Source organism: Homo sapiens, chromosome 15 (genome assembly GCF_000001405.40).
Source record: "Homo sapiens chromosome 15, GRCh38.p14 Primary Assembly".
NCBI lineage: Eukaryota > Metazoa > Chordata > Mammalia > Primates > Hominidae > Homo > Homo sapiens.
The window spans coordinates 40,330,233-40,349,840 of record NC_000015.10 but is presented as its reverse complement, the minus strand read 5'-3'; the positions used below and the strand labels follow the sequence as shown (position 1 = coordinate 40,349,840).

The following is a 19,608-nucleotide window of genomic DNA, read 5'->3' as shown; positions in this document are numbered from 1 at the left end:
GTGGCTTTCTTAGTCACCTTTATATCCCCTCAATTAGAGCAGTAACGTAACCACCATCAGGATACAATTTGGAAAATGGAGAGGAGGAAAAGAGTGATCCTCCTTTATCTCCACGGTGGGCAGGAAAGTGTTTGTGTGCCAGTTTCTCTTACAGTATCAGTTATCTCATATCAGCTCTTGGAGGTAATGGTTATGATCTTCCCCTCTTTTATAGATTAAAACATTGCCAGCGTTCAGAGACATTAAGAAATCTGCTTGAGGTCGCCCACCAAGTGTGTAGTTAGTCCCAACTGGGGACTATTTGAGTCTAGAGCCCGGGCCCTTTCTTCACCTTAGGTAATCTCTCCTTTTAGGAATGCTCTTCTGAAAAATTCCAGCCTGCTTTGCTAACATTGTTGGTCAAAGGACTTTGGTTTATGACTAGGTGGGAGGCTATTGGTCCCTTCTGCACACATTTGCTGTGGGTCTATGGGGAACCAGGACAGGGCGGCCTACTGGGGAGGGGCAGAAGTCCCAGGGGAGGTTTACAAAGGTATGGTGCCTGCCAGGCTCCGGCCCAAACTGTGTGAATGTTACCAACTGCATCCACTGCTCACTGTGCTCACCGCCCTCACCAGCCCTCTAAGCCCTACTCTGCTTCCTTTTACCCTTCAGGGATCTTGACACCGCAACCTCTCCACCTCTGTCCCCAGCCTTTGGCAGGAAGCTGAAAGAGAGGCCTGTGTCTTCACAAAGCCCCAGGAGGAAAGCAGGGGCTGAGAGGAATGCATGGGGGCCCAGTGCTCTGGGTTCCAGGCTTGAGGCCTAAGTTCTCCATCTCGGGAATCAAGGTCTGAGCTCCAGTGGGTGCCAATCACAGAACCCACTACAGCAGCAGTCAGGCAGAGTAGTGAGGCCTTGGGTGGTGGCAGTAGGCCCTGCCTTGATGGGGTGGACTGAGAAGACAGGGCAGCCTCTGAACCCCGAGTGGGCCCAGAGGCCTGTGAGAAGTGAGGAGGGCACCCACGGTGTGGTGGCACATGGGAGACGATCTATAGCAGGGTGTATGTGTTCATGGACTCTTCTCCTACCCAGTCTTAAGATTTTGAGGGCAAGCAGGGCCTGCTCCATGTGTGTGGCCCCACCACCCCTCAGCAGGCACTGTGCCTTACAGATGATAACTGCTCACCACGTGCTTGGGCATATTGCCTGGCTGAGTGTGGCGGCACTTCCCTGCTAGAAAGCCACAGAATGGAGAAGGGAGCTCTGTGGAGCAGGAGGAGATACTTCTGGGGTGAGGGGCTGGGATCTGGAAGAGGAGACGGGAGATCAGGGAGGGAGGCTGAAGGGCATCTCCTGGGGTAGTGGAGGCCATGAGGGGGCCCTGGGAGGTTGAGGACACAAAGTGAAGGCCCTCTCTGGAACCCCCAATGCCTGTCAGCAGAACCAGGAAGGCCCCCCTGCCTCCCGGGCTGCCCTGCAGGGTGGGGAGGGAGGTGGGACAGCCAGGCGCCACTTGGGCAGACAGGTTTTCCACAGTATGAGGCCAAAGGTACGCGCTGGAGAGAGTGCTGCAGGGATGGGCCACCAGCCACAGTGATTCAGAGGCAGTTGGGAGGGCCCCACCCTAGAGACTCCTGGGCAGGTCTCTGACCTTCATCTCCAAAAAGAAGCTAATAGCACCTGCCCTGGCTAATTCACAGGTTGCAGAGCTTAAAGAGATCCAATGGCATCATCTGTGTGAGGCTCTGGCAGTGTTAGACCTTGGAGTGCAGGGTGTTACTGTTATCAGTATGAATATCAGTGGTGACCTCTATGCCTCATCAGAGGCTCCCTTGCCCAGCCCTGGGGACCTGCCTGCGGGACACTTCCCTCGCACCTTTGGCCTCTGGTCCCTCAGAGCATTCCACTGACAGGCCCCCAAGAGGCCCCCTCCCTGCCCCAGCCTCCCGCAGCCCCCTCTTCCCCCAGGGTGCCGAGCATCCAGGTGTGCCTAGGACTGAGGTGTGTTCCAGACTCAGGACTTTCAGTGCTAAAACCGAGACAGTTCCAGGCAAATGGGGACAATTAGTCACCCTGCTGCCCACCCGCAGGTGTCCAGGCCCGGCATTTCAGTGTGCTTTCTCACCCTGGTTGCCCTTTCCTGCCTAGCCACCTCTAGGCTGGGTGAAAGCCCCTGAGCCACACCACCTAAGGCCACTCCAGAGGCCCATGCCCTCTCCTCAGTGGCCTGGGCTCTCATCCTTCCCTCAGCCTCCTAGTCACCCTTCTCTCCATGCCTCAAAGCCACACTGGACCTTTTCCCTGCCCCAGAGATGCCACCTCAGACCCATGTGACAAGCCTAGAGAAGGGGTAGAGACTGTCCCACCCAGCCTTCCAGCCGCTGCTGCCCAGTGGGCACCCTTCCCGGAGACATCAGGCCAGGCCATTCCATGCCTGACTCTGTGAGGGCCCCCAGGCCTGAGCGCTTAGTGCTCCCTCTCCACTGTGTTGCACCAGCCATGCCAAGGCTCTGAGTCCTCCTGAAGGCTCTCCCGCTCACCTTTTCCCTGGACGCCCCATGCCCTGCCTGGCCCAGATGCCTCCCTTCGGTATCTGGACACAGCCTCCTAACTGCCCCCGACCCTACCCCTGCCCTATGCGACACATCTAAGACCACTCTGGCTTCAGCTTCCTAAACCGTGGGGTGGCCTCATCAGCAGCTGCTGTAAAACTTTCAGCCCCTCTGCATGACTCCACCTCCTCAGTCTACCTTCCAGTGCCTCCCCAGTCTGGTCTGTACCTTCCTAACCTAATGTCCTCTTGCAGGTAAAAGCCACCGCCACTCCCCTGCCTCCTGCGATCCTGCTATCTCCTGTGCATTCATGGAATGCCCTCTCCTCCCATCCCCCTGCCTGAATCTTGCTCATCCCCTTGAAGCTCATCCCCTTCTGGAAAACTCCCTGGTGGGCCTGAGCCCTGTGCTGGCTGGGCCTCAGGCCAACGCAGCCTAGTGTTGGCAGGTGCCTCTGAGGTCTTTCCCTGGTGGTTCCTGCATCACCTTGGCCAGGGTAGGTGCTCTGTTCATGGCATAGTGTGGGCAAGTCCCAACAGGGCAGCATTCAGCCTCTGCTCGTGGACAGCTGTGGGCTGGGGGTCAAGGTGGGGCTTCTGGGAAAACACAATGAGTCCCCTTTGCACCATGAAGAGATCCATTGTTGGTGCGTGGGAACAGAACATCAACAAACAAGGGAGACCTCAGGGGCTCAGGTCCATGCCAGCGTTCACCTCCTATTACTGGGTCTGACGCTGGAAGGTTCAGGATGCCCCAGCCCTGGGTATGTCCTGGAGAGCAGAATGGAGGGGTATGTCCTTAGTACAGCTTTCCTTCTGCTTCCAATGCCTCAAAGGACTTCAGCCTGGGCTCCACCTTGCTCTGGCTTATGTGTTCTTTTGAAAGGCGTGGCCCAGACTTTGTCCCTGGCAGCTGGAGCCTGCCTAGGGCTGGTCCCTCCAGCCCCACCTCATGCAGTCTTGAGTCCTTCCCACCCAAGACCAGGCCTGGCCTGACCACACCTCAAGTCCTGGGAGCCAGGACAGGAGTTTTCTTGAGACAAGAATCGCCATGGTGGGGCAGGGAGGGAGGATGGGTTTGCAGGAAGGGAATGCTGTGCTTTAGGCCACTCTCTGGCCCCTTTCCATCTGGAGGGTCTCCCTGCCTAATAGCTGAGCTCTCATGCAATCCAGCCTGGCTCACTCTTTTCCTCAATACTCACCCACACACCCAGGGCTGGCTAGTGGCACCAGTGACCTCTAAGGGCTCGGCCCTTCACCAATAAGAAGGGTTCCCGAGCACTGGGGTGTGATCCTGGAACTGGGCCTGGGGGTATCCAGAGGCAGGTAAAGTGCAGGGACTGCTTCCAGAAGCACGAGTCCTGGCTGGAGAGGGATGGCAACCAGGGCCTGGGACTTCAGAGGGGACAAAGAGGGACAGGGAGGACTCCCTGGAGAGGGTGTGCTGGGCAGGAGACCTGAAGGGAGGTGGCTGAGGGAATGCCTCAGGATCTGCCCCACCAGATCACAAATGGTCTCCATAACCCAGAAGTCTTAATGTGTTCAGGCCCCAGCAGGCTGGTAGGAGGCAGGCTTTGGGCCTCTCAAAGGATGCTGGGGAGGTAGCATCCAGAAGGTGGCCATCAGGAAGTTACCCGAGGCAAGAAAACTGTTTTGAGCCTTACTCTGGGCACACTTTGTTCCAGATATGGATGGTTACCCATGTTATTTTATTTCCTCTCCAGATGATTCTGTGAAGCAGGTACACCTCATTTTATAGATGAGGGCCAGAGAGAGAAGGGACACAGCCAGTAAGGGGTGAAGTTCATTTGGAATCCACCCACCCCCCATCCCATCTTCTGACAAAGCCGAGGGGAAGGGCAGGGGCCGGCTTGCTTATGTTTCATTGATCCAGCTTCAGGGGCAGCATTCCGGAAACAGAATGAGGTCTGAGATGTGCGGCCCTCGTGGGTGGAGCCTCTGCCAGGGCTGTGATCCCAGGGTTGCGGTGGCTCCACGTGTGGTTCGGAGGGTCTTTCCTCCCCTGCAGCCCCTTCCCTCTTTCTCCTCAGTGAGAATCCCAACTTGCAGCCATCTCGTTCTCAGGGCTGGTCCCAGGTCTGTGCTCTGAGGACCACGAATAGGGTCCAGATACGTTCCCTTCTGGACCTCAGGGGGTACCCCCTGAGCCAGCGGGTGGCCTGGGAGGGTGGGGGACCACAGGGAAGAGCCTGTGCCCGAGGTGCTGGGACACCCGGCCCAACCCCGGGTGGAGAGAGGGAGGGCACAGAGGGAAGGATCAGCAGAACGGCATTGGCGGGGCAGCCGGTGAAGGCGCCCTGGGCAGGAGGCAGCTCCCGGGTGTGTGGCCTCAGCGGCATCACAGACAGGCTGTGCCACCTGGGCAGAGGGCGCCACCTCTTTGGGCTTCAGCTTCCTCATCAATAAAATAAGTCTTCTACAACTAGATGGCTTCTCTAGTCTGATGGAGTTGGGAGGTGGAGGTTACAGGGACTTGGGGGAGGCCCTGTGGAACAACAGAGAAAGGGAACCGCCTCCCGCACCCAAAAACAGGCTGTTGTCGCTCTGCTGCCCCTTAGTGGCGACACAGAGAAACAGACACCCAGTCTCATGGGGATGGCAAGCTGGTCCTTCTCCATCTCCCCTGCTTCCTGTGGGCTTCTCCCCGGGGTGGGGTGGGGCTACTCTTAGGGCACCTTTACCACCCACCGGCTCCCTCAGGGCTGCGTACATTCTAGGTGGACAGAAAGGCAGTCCCAGCCTATGCATAGGATACCCACAGCTATGCACAGGATGGCAAGCACAATTCACGCATGTCTTCATTCTGGAAGTGCTGATGGAGGTTCTTTAGTATGCAGGGGCACCGTGCCAGACACTGGGGATCCAGAGGCACTTGGCAGGTCATTCCTGCCCTCAGAGAGCCTCTGTCCAATGGAGAGCAGACAGGCCAACCACAGACTCTGGGGAAAGTGGGAGACTGTGGGGGCTGCTCAGAGGTGTGACGTCATGTGTGAATAACACTGGGAAACACACAGTCAGCAGCTGCTGGTACCCCCCGTATGATGGTTGGTTTGTCTTGGGCACATACCCCTCTAGCCTGACAGACCAGAAGGCCTTTGCCCTAGGTGAGGGGAGTGTGTTCCTGCAGGCCCTTCCAGAAGAGCTGTGTGGCCATCCCACAGGCGATAAGCCTGTGCCCATGCCTTTACCCCCCTGCTACTCTCTTGCCCCCACCTTGTCTGGGAATGGGGGAGGGGGTACACAGCCTTGCCTTATCCCTGTAGCTTCCTTACCCCATCTACACATCTCCTCCCCAGACCTGGTCCGGGCCTGAGTTCTGAAGAGGCTGGAGAGCATTAGGTCTCCCTCCCCAGCAAGTGCTCTGCGGGCCTCCCAGCTCCAACACAGTGCGGGGCAGGCGAAGGGAAGTTTGAGGCTTCTGGAGGCTTCTGAAGCCTCCTGAGGCTGGCGTGGAACTCAGTCCACTGTATGGGGCAGGATGCAGAGCGTCTGGGAGAAGGAGAGAGAGTGTGTGCGTGTATGTGTGTGAGAGAGGCCCAGGGCACAAAGCCTGGGTGCGTCATGGTTGCTGGGAGAGTTTGACGAGTCTGACTCAGTGGGGACATCCGGCAGGAAAGGAAGGGAGAGCGCAGTGGCATTTGCAAGCAAGATGGGAACTCTGGGGTGGTGGAGATGGGGTGTGGGGCCAGGGGTGCTGTGCAAAGGCCTGGACAGGAAGAGGGCTAAGCCTGGCGGAGCTGGGGGAGGGAGTGGGGAGGAAAGGGCAGTTCTGGAGGGGTGGAGGTTGGACCTCTGGCTGCCTGGGTGGGTCTGGGAGGAGAAAGAAGGCAGCGGGGGTTTCTGCTCTGGAGACAGAGGGGACGAGTTGTGGCATTTGGGAAACTGGCCTGGTCAATCAGGGATGTGGGGAATGCAGGGGCTTCTGATTCTCACCTGAGGGCCTGGAGCTCAGGGCCTTGTAGCTGAGGAAACAGACTCCACGAATTCCTAGTCCAGAAAGACCACCCTCCTCTCAGCACCCCCAAGCCTTGAGTCCCAGAGGCTCTAGGAGCCTGGGCAGGGAGACCAGTCTCAGCTGTATGAGGAAGATATGGGGGAGGAGCTTTCCTGAGAAGGGCTGATTCCTTTGCCAGGTTCAGAGAGGCTGAAAAAGCCAGTCTTGGAGAGCAAGGCCAGGAAGGGCCCAAACTTAGGGCCCGAGGGAGGAAGGCTGTTGACCAGCTCTGAACTGCCATGGCAAGGGCCCTGGAGGAATGCCTGGCTCACCATACCAAAGGGCTAGAGACCCAAACAACAGAGCCTCTTGGAAGCGGCTGTGCTTTAAAACATAGTCATGTGTCTGCTAATGACAGGGCTATGTTCTGAGAAATACGTTGTTAGGTGGTTTTGTCATTGTGTGAACACCACAGAGAGCACTTACACAAACCTAGATGGTACAGCCTACTACACACCCAGGCTATATGGTATAGCTATTGCTCCTAGGCTACAAACCTGTACAGCAGGTTACTGTACTGCATACTGTAGGCAGCTGTAACACAGTGCTAAGTGTTTACATATCTAAACTTAGAAAAGATATAGTAAAAATATGGTGTACAAGATTTAAAATGGCACACCTGTATAGGGCACTTACCATGAATGAAGCCTGCAGGACTGGAGGTTGCTCTGGTGAGTCACTGAGTGAGTGATGAGTGAATCTGAAGGCCTAGGACATTACCGTCTGCTACTATAGATTTTATAAACACTGTACACTTACGTTAGACTAAATTTATACGAATGATTTTTTGGTCAGGCATGGTGGCTCATGCCTGTCATCCTAGTACTTTGGGAGGCCAAGGCAGGAGGATCACTTGAGCCTAGGTGTTCAAGACCAGCCTGTGCAACATAGCAAGACGTTCTCTCTACAAAAAATTTTAAAACTACCTGGACATGGTGGCATGCGCCTGTTGTCCAAGCTACTCAGGAGGCTGAGGCAGGGGGATCCCTTGAGCCCAGGAGGTTGAGGCTGCAGTGAGCCATGATCATGTCACTGACCTCTGGCTTGGGTGACAGAGTGAGACTGTCTCAAAAAATGAAAAATTAAAAAATATATATTTTTGTTTCTTCAGTAATAAATTAACCTTAGCTTACTGTAACCTTTTTACTTTATAAACTTTTTAATTTAAAAAAACTTTTTGACTCTCTTGGTAATAACCCTTAGCTTAAAACACAAACAAAACACATTGTACAGCTGTACAAAAATATTTTCTCTTTATATCCTTATTCTATAAGTTTTTTTGCTATTTTGAAACTTTTTCTTTTTTTTAACTTTTTAAACTTTTTTCTCAAAATCTAACACACACACATTAGCCTAGGCCTACACAGAGTCAGAATCATCAACATCACTGTCTTCCATTCCACATATTGACCCACTGGAAGGTCTTCAGGGGCATTAACAGGCCTGCAGCTGTCATCTCCTATGCTAACAATGCCTTCTGGATTTCCTCCTGAAGGACCTGCCCGAGGCTGTTTTACAGTTCACTTTTTTTTGTTGTTGTTGTAAGTAGAAGAAATACACTCTAAAATAATGATAAAAAGTATAGTATAGTAAATACATAAGCCAGTAACATAATTGTTAATTATCATTATCAGGTATTCTGTACTGTGCACACTTGTATGTGCCATACTTTTGTGCGGCTGTCATGCCGTAGGTCTGTTTACACAAGCGTCACCATAAGCACATAAGTAGTGCCCTGTGCTACCATGTTATAATGGCTACAATGTCACTAAGCCATAGGAATTTGTAGCTCCATTATAATCTTATGGGACCACCATCATATATGTGGTCCATTGTTGAGTGAAACGTCATTATATGGTGCATGACTGCACAGAGAAGACAATGTCCAACCTAAAAGAATGAATGACTATTGTTGTCATTTTAGGGATGTGGTAGTACTTGGTAGTCTAGGGGAGGTGAGCTTCTTGATCCCTTTGAATTACTTAAACCAAGGCTGATGAGGAGAAGGAGCAGGAGAGGGCAGGCGCATCTGTGTGCTGTAGGCCTTTTTCTACTCATGGGAGGCACAGAGGCCTACGCTGGCTGCCCATCTTGTCTGCAGGCAGGCCCAGGCTGGGGTCCTGCTGGGGCCTAGGCAGCCAGGCCTCCTGTGTAGGCTTGACCCACCAGGGAGAAGTCCCTACCAGTCTGTCTGGGGACGCTGGGGTGGGGCAGGGAGAGGTGCTAGGCAGGACCAGCCAGCTGCCAGTGCCCTGGTCCTCGCCCTCTGAGAGTGGAAGGGTGGGGGTGGCGGCCCGACGTTCCTGGCTGGGAGCCCAGAGGAGTCTTTTGTAATCACAACATGATCTCGTGTGCTGAGCAGCGAAGCCGGCAGGGAGAGGCCGGCAGAGGCCCGGCTCCGGTGGCTCCAGCTTTCCTCCCACTCTGGCTCCCCAGGGGCTGCTCTGGAATTCTCTCGGTGCCCGCCGTTGCCATGCACTCGGCTGTGAGTGGCAGTCTGCCTTTGGCAGGGGGCTTCTTGGGACTGGGAGGGGGCTGGGATACCAGGCAGCCACCCTCTGGGGGCAGCTGGGGACAGCTGGGGCTGGGAGGAAGAAGGCTGTGACTAGGGTCACAACAGAGAACCTGCATCCAGACAGAGAGGAACCTGGAATCTTGATGCAGAGACATGGCTTGCCCAGGGTGACTCCTGGGCTGGGGCCGCCAGGGGAGCTGGCTCTCTCCGCCCCGACTACCAGCAGCTTTCGGCCTGGAGAGGCTGGGCCCCTGGGAGCGGCTCTTTCCTCCAGGCTGGGCACAGGCCTAGGTGCGGGGTCCAGGGCCTGAGAGCCCAGGACGGAGCCAGGGCCTCTCCTTTTTCTCTGGTTGTGGATCTGGGAGCCAAACAGCTCCCCCCTCGACCTCCCGAATCCCCTGGCAGCTTCCCAGTCACGGCAGGTTCCGCTGCCAGAGCCATTTATAACTCCCATTCCAGGCTCTGCTCGGCAGTGAAGCTCCCTGGAGAGCTGGGGGAGGGGCACCCCACTGCTGGGAGCTGTGGCTTGGGGTATGAGGCCCTGACCTGAGCCCCCTGAGGAGGCAGGGACAGGCAGACGGGCCTAGCTGGAATGGGGGCTTGGGGCCTTATTTGGGCCATCTCCCTAAGCAATCCCCTTCCTTCCTGGGTGACCTTAGCTGTGGGTCTGGGATCTCTTCCTTGGGTGGTGAAAATGTGAAAGCTGGGGACTGGTGAGAGGGGGACCCGGAAGTCAGGAGCTTGGGTTCCCTGCCTCTGCAGGGAACTCCCAGAGCCGAGTCCCCCATGAGCAGGCAGGAGAAGGACGCAGAGCTGGATCGGAGGATAGTTGCCCTGCGCAAGAAGAACCAGGCCTTGCTCCGCAGGTACCAGGTGAGTGGGCTGCCACAGGGCCAGGAGAAACCACTTGGCTGCCGCTCCCTGTGCCCCACACGTGGTGGTCTCCCTGCAGGCTCAGCAATGCGCCTCTGGGGCTGGGGCCAGGGGTAGGGTGGGCATGGTCCCTCTTAGAGGCTTGGTGAGGGTCCTGGGGATGTGTGATGTGGCGCCTCTGCCCCCTGGTGTCCCACTGGTGTCTCTCTGTGTAGGCCTATCAGCATCTATGTCTCTGTGCACCTGGGGGGCCATGGCGTGTGCTGACCCCCAGCCCTCCCACAGGAGATCCAGGAGGACCGTCGGCAGGCAGAGCAGGGGGGGATGGCTGTGACCACACCAGCACTCCTCCAGCCTGATGGCCTCACCGTTACCATCAGCCAGGTTCCCGGTGTAAGCCTCACCCTGGGAGACAGGGCTCGTAGCAAGGAGGTGGAGGCCCAGACCATGTCGGGGAAAGACAGCTGCCTCTGTTCCCCTCTCCTACTAACTATTCTGGGGTGCACCTGCCAGCTCCCAACCTCCTGCAGTCGGACCACTGCTGTCCCCACCAAAGAGCCACAGCTGAAAGCCCCCCTACCCCCAGTAGATGCATCTTCATACCCTTTTCCAGTCCACAGCCCTGCGCCTATGCCACAAAGCACAGGCCACTCCTAAACCTCAAGCCCCAGGGGCTAAAACCCTGCAGGAAGTGGGGGACAGAGAAGTTGGGGCTGAATGCCAGGAGCAGTGTCTGAGGGACAGAGACCCATTGTTTGAGTGCTCTGGGTTTCCCAGCTCAGAGATGACGGGCCACTGTGGCATCTTGGGCCGCTGGGTGGCCCTGGGCCCTGGATAACCTCATGCCATTGGCATGTGAACACCCTGTGGGAGTCAGCTCTTCTGTGGGGAATGCAGGGAGGGCTGGGGTTGGAACCCAGGCCTGGGGAACCACCGAGAGGACCCAGCACCCAGGTCCTGCCCAGCACTGCCCATGTGGCCTGAGGGTCTTTGTTCTGCAGGAAAAGCGGGTGGTTAGCAGGAACTGGGCAAGGGGTACCTGTGGACCCAGAGTGACCAACGAGATGCTTGAGGATGAGGATGCTGAGGACCACGGGGGTACTTTCTGCTTAGGGGAGCTGGTGGAGCTGGCTGTGACCATGGAGAACAAAGCAGAGGTGAGCAGGGTGGTGGGGAGTGCAGGCATCGGCAGGCAGCCTCTTCCTCCCTGGCTCTGCTGCACTGCCCATCTTCATCCTCCCCAGGGCAAACGGATTGTAAGTGAAAAGCCTACCAGAGCAAGGAACCAAGGCATAGAGGGGTCACCTGGAGGGCGTGTGACCCGAAGCCCCCCCACGCAGGTGGCCATCAGCTCAGATTCTGCACGGAAGGTGTGTCTTCAAGAGGGGATGGGGACATGGATCTGAAGGTCCTCACTTGGGGGAGGCAGAGAAGCTGAGTCAGATATGTCCCTCATTTGCGGGGACGTGGCCAAGGGAGCACATGCAGGAGTTCCTGCTCCTCCTCCCTTTCTCTGGCCAGTCTCTACTTTGGGTGGGCCTTGAAGTGGGAGACAGTTTAAGCCAAAGATGTGATCCAGCCCCCTCCCCTATTTAGCCCTGCTGATGGTGGCATGGGAGTTGGGGAGGGGGCAGGAGGGTGGAGTTGACTGGCCAAGTGCCAGGTGTGACCTCTAGGTGGCAGCAGCCCCTAGTCCTTGCCCTTGCTCACAGCTTCCAGGGCCCCTCCCACTCCGGCCCGTCTGCATACCCCTGCAACACCCCTGTGGGTTGGTGCTACGGAGATCCTCCCCATTTTACACGAGGAAATGAGACACAGAGAGGTTAAATTACTTATGTAAAACACACAGCTAACAAGTGGATGGAAACCATTTCCACGGGAGAGCTGGAACAGGCCTAATTTTTAGCTGGAGATGTGGAAACCTTGAGAGAGGAAGCGCCTGGAGTCTCCAAACCCCACCCCAAGCCTCTTCCTGCTTCTCCCCCTCACTCTGAGTGTCTTCTCCCTACAGGGTTCTTGGGAGCCCTGGAGCCGGCCGGTGGGGGAGCCCCCGGAGGCGGGCTGGGACTATGCCCAGTGGAAGCAGGAGCGGGAGCAGATCGACCTAGCCCGCCTCGCCCGGCACAGAGACGCACAGGGTGACTGGCGCCGCCCGTGGGACCTGGACAAGGCCAAGTCCACGTGGGTGGCTGGGTTGGGCAGGTTGCCTGTGGTGCGGGATGGAGCTGGCTTCGGGCACTGCTGGGAGGGCTGCAGGGACCCTCCTCGGGGTTGAGAGGACCTTGCTGGGCATTCTGGTCGAGCCCAGGGTTCAAGGCTCTGGGTCTCCCATCTTTCTTGGGCCCACCATCTCCCTGCTGCCTTCAATTCTGGGCCTGGGCTTCGGGGAGGGGGGTGTCAGGGTGGGGCCCGCGGCAGCTTCTGTGCACCAGCAACCTGACTCCCTCTGTCTACACAGGCTACAGGACTGCAGCCAGCTGAGGGGAGAAGGCCCGGCCAGGGCAGGCAGCAGAAGGGGTGAGCCCACACCTACCTCATCCCTCCCCTCCTTGGCTTTGTTCATCTTTCACCCCCTTGTCCTCTCTTTTCTCTGTCTCTTAGTCTCTTATTTTCAGAGCTGAAAGGAAGCGTTGGAGAACATCTTCCTTCCTCTCCCTCACTATCAGAGGAGGGCACCAAGACCTCCCATCCTCCCCTCTGAGCCCACAGCTCTTGTCCAGGTTCTGAGCAGAAGGCCCCAGAAGGAGGCTCAGTGGAAGCCGGCCCGGGGTCTCTTTGAGGTCCCTAAAGGGTGAAAGTCCTGGTGGTCCTTCCCCAGACCTACTGTAGAAACAGCTCTGTGGAGTTCTGGTCCCCTTGTTTTATATATAAAGAAGCTGTGGCCTGAGAGTTGGGGCCAGACACCTAGCCATGGAGTGGCAAAGCTAGCACAGGACCCTATTCTCCTGACCCCCAGGCGAGGGCGCTTTTGGGGAGGCAAAACCCACGACTGGCCCCGAGGACTGACAGCTTCCTGAGGCTGGAAGAACTGGTGTTCCTGTTTTGGATCCTTTGTCACCCCACCTTTCCCCACTTCTTTTGTCCCCCGCAGGTCCCAGGAGCCACCAGAAACTACAGCCCCCACCATTGCTCCCTGATGGAAAAGGTGAGTTGGGGAGGAGGAGGGGCCAGGTCTCGTCAGCTAAAGATGGAGCCGGCTGCTATGGGCCTCTTCTCTCCTTGGCCGACCATCTCTTGCAGGTCGGGGCGGGCAAGCCAGCAGACCCTCGGTGGCACCAGCCACAGGCAGCAAAGCCCGGGGCAAGGAGAGGCTGACTGGCAGGGCCCGAAGGTAACAGGTGGCAGGGGACAAAATCAAGACGGGCATGTGGGTGTCCCAATTTCCTGGACCAGTACAGGCCCAGGTGCCAGCTCCATCCCTGGGGCCCCTGCCTCCTGGCTGACTGCTGCCTGGCAGGTTAATGAGATGCTGGGAGAGGCCATTAGCAGAGGCTGCAGCGAGAGCCTGGTGCCCGGGGAGGCTGGTGGTAATTACAGCAGCTCCCTTCCCCTGGGAAATGAGGTATGCCTTTCCCAGGCATTGCAGGCGGGGACATGCCTGGAGTCCCCACAGAACTCAAGGTGCTGCAAGTTTGGCCATAAACAGCAGCTGGGGACCCAGGATGGGCCCAGAGTGCGTGGTATTCAGAGGAAATAGTTGGATTTAGGGAACAAGGTCAGGCTTGGTGGGGGAAGCATCCTGGAGCCACATTCTGGCTCTGATCCCAGTCTGAGACCCTTGGGCTTTGGCTTCTGCCAGGAGTTTCTTTGGCAAGGAGATGGAGGCCCAGAGGAGGTGGAGGCCCCTCCTCTCTGGTCCTGCCATGGCTGCTCCTCTCTGCTGAGGGCTATGGGGCTCTAGGGAGAGTCTGGGTCACCCCTGGGATTTCTCCACTGCTCAGTGTGAGGCCTAAACCATGGGGTCCCAGCTCAGCCTTCCTCACTGGCTCTCAACTCCACCCCACCCCTCTATTCAGGCAGGGGGACATGGCTCTGGAGTGAAGTGGGGTGGGGCGTGCCATGAGCTGTGTTTCTACAGGTGGGATATGAAGGAAGACAAGGAGGAGCTGGAAGGTCAGGAGGTAGGTACTTGGGTATAGGATGGGGCAGGCTGGGGACGCGAGCCCTGGATTCATCAGCCACCGGGGCTATTCTCTTGTTTCAGGGAAGCCAAAGCACCAGAGAGACTCCCAGTGAGGAGGAGCAAGCCCAGAAGCAGAGCGGGATGGAGCAGGGCCGACTGGGGAGCGCCCCTGCAGCCAGCCCAGCCCTGGCATCCCCAGAGGGGCCGAAGGGGGAGTCAGTGGCTTCCACAGCCAGCTCAGTCCCCTGCTCTCCACAGGAGCCTGACTTGGCTCCTCTTGACCTCTCCCTAGGAGGGGCTGGCATCCCTGGGCCCAGGGAGAGCGGGTGTGTGCTCGGTCTGAGGCCTGGGGCCCAGGAGAGCCCTGTGTCTTGGCCAGAGGGCTCTAAGCAGCAGCCCCTGGGGTGGAGCAATCACCAGGCTGAGCTGGAAGTACAGACTTGCCCTGAGCCACAGAGAGGAGCAGGGCTCCCAGAGCCCGGAGAAGACAGGTCTGGCAAGTCTGGGGCCCAGCAGGGCCTGGCCCCGAGAAGCCGGCCCACGAGAGGAGGCAGCCAAAGGTCGAGAGGCACAGCAGGTGTGAGGCGCAGGACAGGGCGCCCTGGCCCGGCAGGAAGATGCTGAACACAGCTCCTGGGAGCTGGGGAGTCCCCGGGGAGAGGAAAAGGGAATCACTCTGTTAAAGGCCCTCCGCGTGATGGCCATGTGGTTGCCGGTGGCTTGCGCCATTGTCACTGAGCAGTGTGGCAAACTCTCCAGCATGGCGACCTTGTGAGGGCAAGGAGTGGCCTCCCTGCACCTCACACGCTCATCTCTGTGCACATGTGTGTTTTCACGCACGGGCACAGCCCCTGGTGTATTCCTGTACTAGTATCTGGCATCTGAGGCTGGTGCACCCTGACCTGGGCCTACTGCTGCCCAGGCCACAAGCCTTCTCCACTATGATGAGAGAACAAGGCTTGGTGGCACCCAGCACCTGGCTCTCCTGGCTCCCCGTCACCCCCCCAGGGCCTGGCCTCCCTCTCCAGCTGCAGGCTTTCACCTCTTGCCTGGGCTGGATTCCCCCAGTCCCAGATTCCCAGGATGCCCAACCAGGGGAATCCCAGTAACCATGCGCCAGCCTCCTGCCTCTCCTGAGTGGTGGCTGAGGCCTGGAGGAGGAGAGGCCACACAGCTGGCAGGGTCTGGCCTGGGCAAAGAAGAGTAGAGCTCACGTCTTCTTGGTGAAAAGGAGGATCTCTGGAAAGTCCTCCTCTCTGAAATGGGTTGGGATGGGGAGCGACAACCTCCTCTTCCCACAGCAGGATGGGAGAGCTTACTCCCAGGCCCCCACACCCAGGTCAGACATCACGTGCACCCTGAATGTAGGCAAGGGCCTGGCCCTGCAGCCCAGGGTCATTTCCTGCTCTTTCCACTTCCTCTTTCCCCACCGTCCTGCACTAGCACCAGGGCCAGGCCAAGGCAAGAATCAGACAGCTACTCCACAGACAGAGAAACAACTTCCAGCTAAGTATGACATCAGGACTTGTCTTTCCTACTAAGCCTCCATCCCCGCCCCTCCCCTGAGGCCCACGTCTGCTGAATTATCCGGACTCCGCACAAGCTGTGGCTTCCTCTCAGTTCAACAAACATTTCCTGAGCACCCACTACCAGTAATCCAGCCGGTAGGCGACGGAGACTGCCAGCAGGAGGGAGGGAAGAAAGCCAGTCATCCGGCAGATCTGGGCTGTTCTGGGCGGGAGCTGTTCTGGGCCACAGGTGCCCTACAGGGCTGGGGGCAGGATGGCGGTAGGAGCCCCAGGGGACCCTCCCACCTCTGCCTGGCAGAAGCAAGTGCCCTTCTTTCTTGTTATGTGTGCCTTCTGCTCCTGAGCCCTAGTGTGGACCTCACCGCATGGTCCCCTCTGCCCCCTCCTTCTGGTCCTGCCATGGCTGCTGCTCTCTGCTGAAGGCTGTGGGGCTCTAGGGAGAGTCCAGATCACCCTGGGATTTCTCCACTGCCCAATGTGAAGCCTAAACTGTGGGGTCCCAGCTCAGCCTTCCTCACTGGCTCTCAACTCCACCCCACCCCTCTATTCAGGAAGGTGAGGGGCATCTCTTTAGCAGACCAGACTGTTTTGAGAAGTGTCTCTCATACTTTAACTGAAGAGTCATGCAGATTCTAATGGTCTGGGGAGGGCCTGAGAGTTCGTCTTTTTTTTTTTTTTTTTTTTTTAGTTAGGGTCCTGCTGTTATCACCTAGGCTGGAGTGCAGTGGCACAATCATGGCTCACTGCAGCCTCGAACCCTCCAGGCTCAGGCGATCCTCTCACATCAACCTCTTGAGTAGCCGGGACTACAGGTGTGCCACCACACCTGGCTAATTTTTGTATTTTTTGTAGAGGCAGGGTTTCACCATGTTGCCCAGGCTGGTCTCCAACTCCTGGGCTCAAGCAATCTGCTCGCCTTGGCCTCCTAAACTGCTGGGATTACAGGCATGAGCCACCACACCTGGCCGAGAATTCGTATTTCTAAGAGGCTTCAGGTGAAGCCCATGCTGGTTCCTGGACCATGGTTTTGAGTAGTTAAGGGTTTGGACTAGAATATATGAAGGGCTGGGGGTGAAGACAGACTCTAGACTCTAAAGGTTGGTGGCTGGCTATGTAGGGGATGGGGGAGTGCTACCCCTGTCAGGTGGTGGGGGCTTCCTGGCTGCAGAGTTGGGTGGGAGACTTGGGGAAGATGCTTTGGAAGGCAGTGAGTGGGTGGTGTCAACTTCTAGTAGTGCAGTGGGAGAGCTGGTCAGGGATGGGATGGAGTGAAGGGGGCAGAGGCATTTGGTGTGGGGTTGATCAGAGGAATTTTGGAAAGGCTTGGAAACATTCCTATGTATGTGAGACACACCTATGCCAGGGCAAAGACTCCAAGCTCAAGTTTTTCTCTTGCCTTCTAGTCACAAGAACATGGCTTTGGAGTGTGACACTGGCCTAGGAATCCATGACTCCCAAAGGACGGGGCTAGGGGTAGAGGAGGTTCAGGCAAAGCCCTTAGATTTTGGAGACATCAGGCAGATGTCTCCAAAAATGATTGTGATCAAGAATCTGAATTATAAGATTCACAGTCTGCTCCCCAACCCAGTGCTGCCAACTGTACAGCTGCGCCTCCACGAAGGGGCATATGCCAGGCTCGTCTGACCCTGGAATGAGGATGTAGGAAGCAGGCAGAGCTCGGGTTCAGCCCTCACAATGGGACTGAAGCAGGAGAGAAGGCTGGGCAGAAGGGCTGTGGGGAAGTAGGGCTTGTCTCCATGGATGACGTCCAGAAGGATGTCAGGAGGAGGAATATCACAGGAGTTATAGACATTGGAGGGAACAGAGACTGGCACAGGACCTCTTCATTGCAGGAAGATGGTAGTGTAGGCAGGTAACATTGAGCTCTTTTCAAAAAAGGAGAGCTCTTCTTCAAGATAAGGAAGTGGTAGTTATGGTGGTAACCCCCGGCTATCAGTCCGGATGGTTGCCACCCCTCCTGCTGTAGGATGGAAGCAGCCATGGAGTGGGAGGGAGGCGCAATAAGACACCCCTCCACAGAGCTTGGCATCATGGGAAGCTGGTTCTACCTCTTCCTGGCTCCTTTGTTTAAAGGCCTGGCTGGGAGCCTTCCTTTTGGGTGTCTTTCTCTTCTCCAACCAACAGAAAAGACTGCTCTTCAAAGGTGGAGGGTCTTCATGAAACACAGCTGCCAGGAGCCCAGGCACAGGGCTGGGGGCCTGGAAAAAGGAGGGCACACAGGAGGAGGGAGGAGCTGGTAGGGAGATGCTGGCTTTACCTAAGGTCTCGAAACAAGGAGGGCAGAATAGGCAGAGGCCTCTCCGTCCCAGGCCCATTTTTGACAGATGGCGGGACGGAAATGCAATAGACCAGCCTGCAAGAAAGACATGTGTTTTGATGACAGGCAGTGTGGCCGGGTGGAACAAGCACAGGCCTTGGAATCCAATGGACTGAATCAGAACCCTAGGCCTGCCATCTGTCAGCCGGGTGACCTGGGTCAATTTTAGCCTCTAAAAGCCTCAGTCTCCTTATCTGCAAAATGAGGCTTGTGATACCTGTTTTGAAGGGTTGCTGAGAAAATTAAAGATAAGGGTATCCAAAATAGTCTACGGCCATACCACCCTGAACGTGCCTAATCTCGTAAGCTAAGCAGGGTCAGGCCTGGTTAGTACCTGGATGGGGAGAGTATGGAAAACATACCTGCCCGCAGTTGGAGTTGGACTCTGTCTTAACAGTAGCGTGGCACACAGAAGGCACTCAGTAAATACTTGTTGAATAAATGAAGTAGCGATTTGGTGTGATCTCTGTCTACTTTGTTTTCTATCTTTTCCTTACCTTCTCTTCTAGCCTCATCTTTGCTGGAGGGGCGGGGGGTGGGGGCACTCAATGCACTTTCAGAGAAACAAGGAACCGTCTGTAAAGATTATCCGGCCCACCAGGTGAGCTTCCTTCAGTCCCATGGGGGTCCAGTGGAGTCTCAGCCTCGAGCAGTGCCCCTGCTTTACCAAGGAGTGTTCTTTGACCTCCCCTACTGGCTCCATCACACTTACCCCCCTTCACCCTGCACGCTGCGCTGCGCTTGCAGCTCACAGGGGTTCCTCCTCTCTTCTGTCTACCTCAATAGCAATCTCACACTCACATCACAGTTTTCTGCTTATTTTCCCCAGAAACAAACCCCCTTGAGGAGTTTGCTCTGTGTGTCCCAGAGTTGTTTTGTCACCCAAAGGAGCAGCATGACTAGCGTTTGCTATGGTCAAGGGACAGGAACTGGGGATCCTTGGAAGCAGGAGAGCTTAGCTTATCTAACAAGGCACAAGTTTGGAAGGTTGCACCACAGTCACCTCCAGCCCCGACCCTGTCAGGGACGAGAACAACAGGAAAAGATCGCACTCACCCCCCAAAACAAGAAGGAACTGTCAAAAATCCTAATACAGCCACATTTTCTTATTTTAGGGACTAAATCAAGGGGAGGGGCCAAGGGAATAGAACTAGACACCATGTCACTTCCATCTTGAGTCACTTATCCATGTCCACACACCCCACACACATCTCTGAGCAAGGGTTATCAGGGCTCATGAGGAAGGGTTGACAGGGGTTGACCACAACCCCACCAAAGTGGGAGAACTCAAGGCTGGGAGAGGGAAGGAGAGCAGCCAGCAGAAAGCATGGACTGCAGCTGCTTTCTCTCAAGTCTGCTGGGCCTTACGTCACAGCTGCTCATTAAGCACCCACTTGACGCCGGGGAAGTGAAATAGCACAGACCTGGCACCAGAAAGAACAAATGTGGCACCCACTGCTCCTTTTAAGGACTGGCTCAAGAAGCAGCAGGCCTCAGGGCAGGAGGTGAGGCAAACACAGCAGTACCTTCGCGGGAGAGGGAGGGGACTCGTTCAGGGCTGCCTCCTTTTTAACAAGCTCTCCAGGGCAAGTTCTGTGGCAACTGTCAAAAATAATGGACAATGCAGCCTTTTTCCCTTTTCTTATAAGCACTAGGGACACTATTTCCTCTTCCCCCAGCAG

General features: G+C 56.4%; 1 protein-coding gene and 1 pseudogene across 1 annotated transcript, besides 8 other annotated features; both read left to right on the top strand.

The window, feature by feature from the left end:
- Positions 4,184–4,780: an enhancer, noted in NCBI's record as "H3K4me1 hESC enhancer chr15:40637262-40637858 (GRCh37/hg19 assembly coordinates)". NCBI's record gives its function as "activates a minimal SCP1, AML or CMV promoter by ChIP-STARR-seq in naive H9 embryonic stem cells {active_cell/tissue: H9 hESC(naive)}" and the evidence as "EXISTENCE:reporter gene assay evidence [ECO:0000049][PMID:30033119]".
- Positions 4,781–5,378: an enhancer, noted in NCBI's record as "H3K4me1 hESC enhancer chr15:40636664-40637261 (GRCh37/hg19 assembly coordinates)". NCBI's record gives its function as "activates a minimal SCP1, AML or CMV promoter by ChIP-STARR-seq in naive H9 embryonic stem cells {active_cell/tissue: H9 hESC(naive)}" and the evidence as "EXISTENCE:reporter gene assay evidence [ECO:0000049][PMID:30033119]".
- Positions 4,992–5,081: a silencer, noted in NCBI's record as "silent region_6327". NCBI's record gives its function as "represses an Ori minimal core promoter by ATAC-STARR-seq in GM12878 lymphoblastoid cells {active_cell/tissue: GM12878}" and the evidence as "EXISTENCE:reporter gene assay evidence [ECO:0000049][PMID:35858748]".
- Positions 5,102–5,211: a silencer, noted in NCBI's record as "silent region_6326". NCBI's record gives its function as "represses an Ori minimal core promoter by ATAC-STARR-seq in GM12878 lymphoblastoid cells {active_cell/tissue: GM12878}" and the evidence as "EXISTENCE:reporter gene assay evidence [ECO:0000049][PMID:35858748]".
- Positions 5,562–6,061: an enhancer, noted in NCBI's record as "H3K4me1 hESC enhancer chr15:40635981-40636480 (GRCh37/hg19 assembly coordinates)". NCBI's record gives its function as "activates a minimal SCP1, AML or CMV promoter by ChIP-STARR-seq in primed H9 embryonic stem cells {active_cell/tissue: H9 hESC(primed)}" and the evidence as "EXISTENCE:reporter gene assay evidence [ECO:0000049][PMID:30033119]".
- Positions 8,902–18,389, top strand: CCDC9B (coiled-coil domain containing 9B). Its single transcript, NM_207380.3, has 11 exons — positions 8,902–9,033; positions 9,826–9,936; positions 10,222–10,329; positions 10,938–11,093; positions 11,181–11,306; positions 11,948–12,117; positions 12,395–12,453; positions 13,028–13,081; positions 13,177–13,267; positions 14,015–14,057; positions 14,141–18,389. Exons 1-11 carry the CDS (start codon positions 9,022–9,024, stop codon positions 14,681–14,683), a joined length of 1,473 nt encoding a protein of 490 aa, NP_997263.3. The 5' UTR covers positions 8,902–9,021; the 3' UTR covers positions 14,684–18,389.
- Positions 9,006–9,809: an enhancer, noted in NCBI's record as "H3K4me1 hESC enhancer chr15:40632233-40633036 (GRCh37/hg19 assembly coordinates)". NCBI's record gives its function as "activates a minimal SCP1, AML or CMV promoter by ChIP-STARR-seq in naive H9 embryonic stem cells {active_cell/tissue: H9 hESC(naive)}" and the evidence as "EXISTENCE:reporter gene assay evidence [ECO:0000049][PMID:30033119]".
- Positions 12,719–13,237: an enhancer, noted in NCBI's record as "H3K4me1 hESC enhancer chr15:40628805-40629323 (GRCh37/hg19 assembly coordinates)". NCBI's record gives its function as "activates a minimal SCP1, AML or CMV promoter by ChIP-STARR-seq in primed H9 embryonic stem cells {active_cell/tissue: H9 hESC(primed)}" and the evidence as "EXISTENCE:reporter gene assay evidence [ECO:0000049][PMID:30033119]".
- Positions 15,539–15,833: an enhancer, noted in NCBI's record as "tiled region #6286; K562 Activating non-DNase unmatched - State 5:Enh". NCBI's record gives its function as "activates a minimal TATA promoter and a strong SV40 promoter by Sharpr-MPRA in K562 cells {active_cell/tissue: K562}" and the evidence as "EXISTENCE:reporter gene assay evidence [ECO:0000049][PMID:27701403]".
- Positions 18,193–18,304, top strand: RNA5SP392 (RNA, 5S ribosomal pseudogene 392; annotated as a pseudogene).

Excerpts from the sequence above, each read along its gene's own strand:
- CCDC9B (NM_207380.3), top strand. Across the intron at positions 13,268-14,014 it reads CTGACTGGCAGGGCCCGAAG|GTGGGATATGAAGGAAGACA; the intron begins GTAACAGGTGGC and ends GTGTTTCTACAG. Across the intron at positions 14,058-14,140 it reads AGGAGCTGGAAGGTCAGGAG|GGAAGCCAAAGCACCAGAGA; the intron begins GTAGGTACTTGG and ends CTCTTGTTTCAG.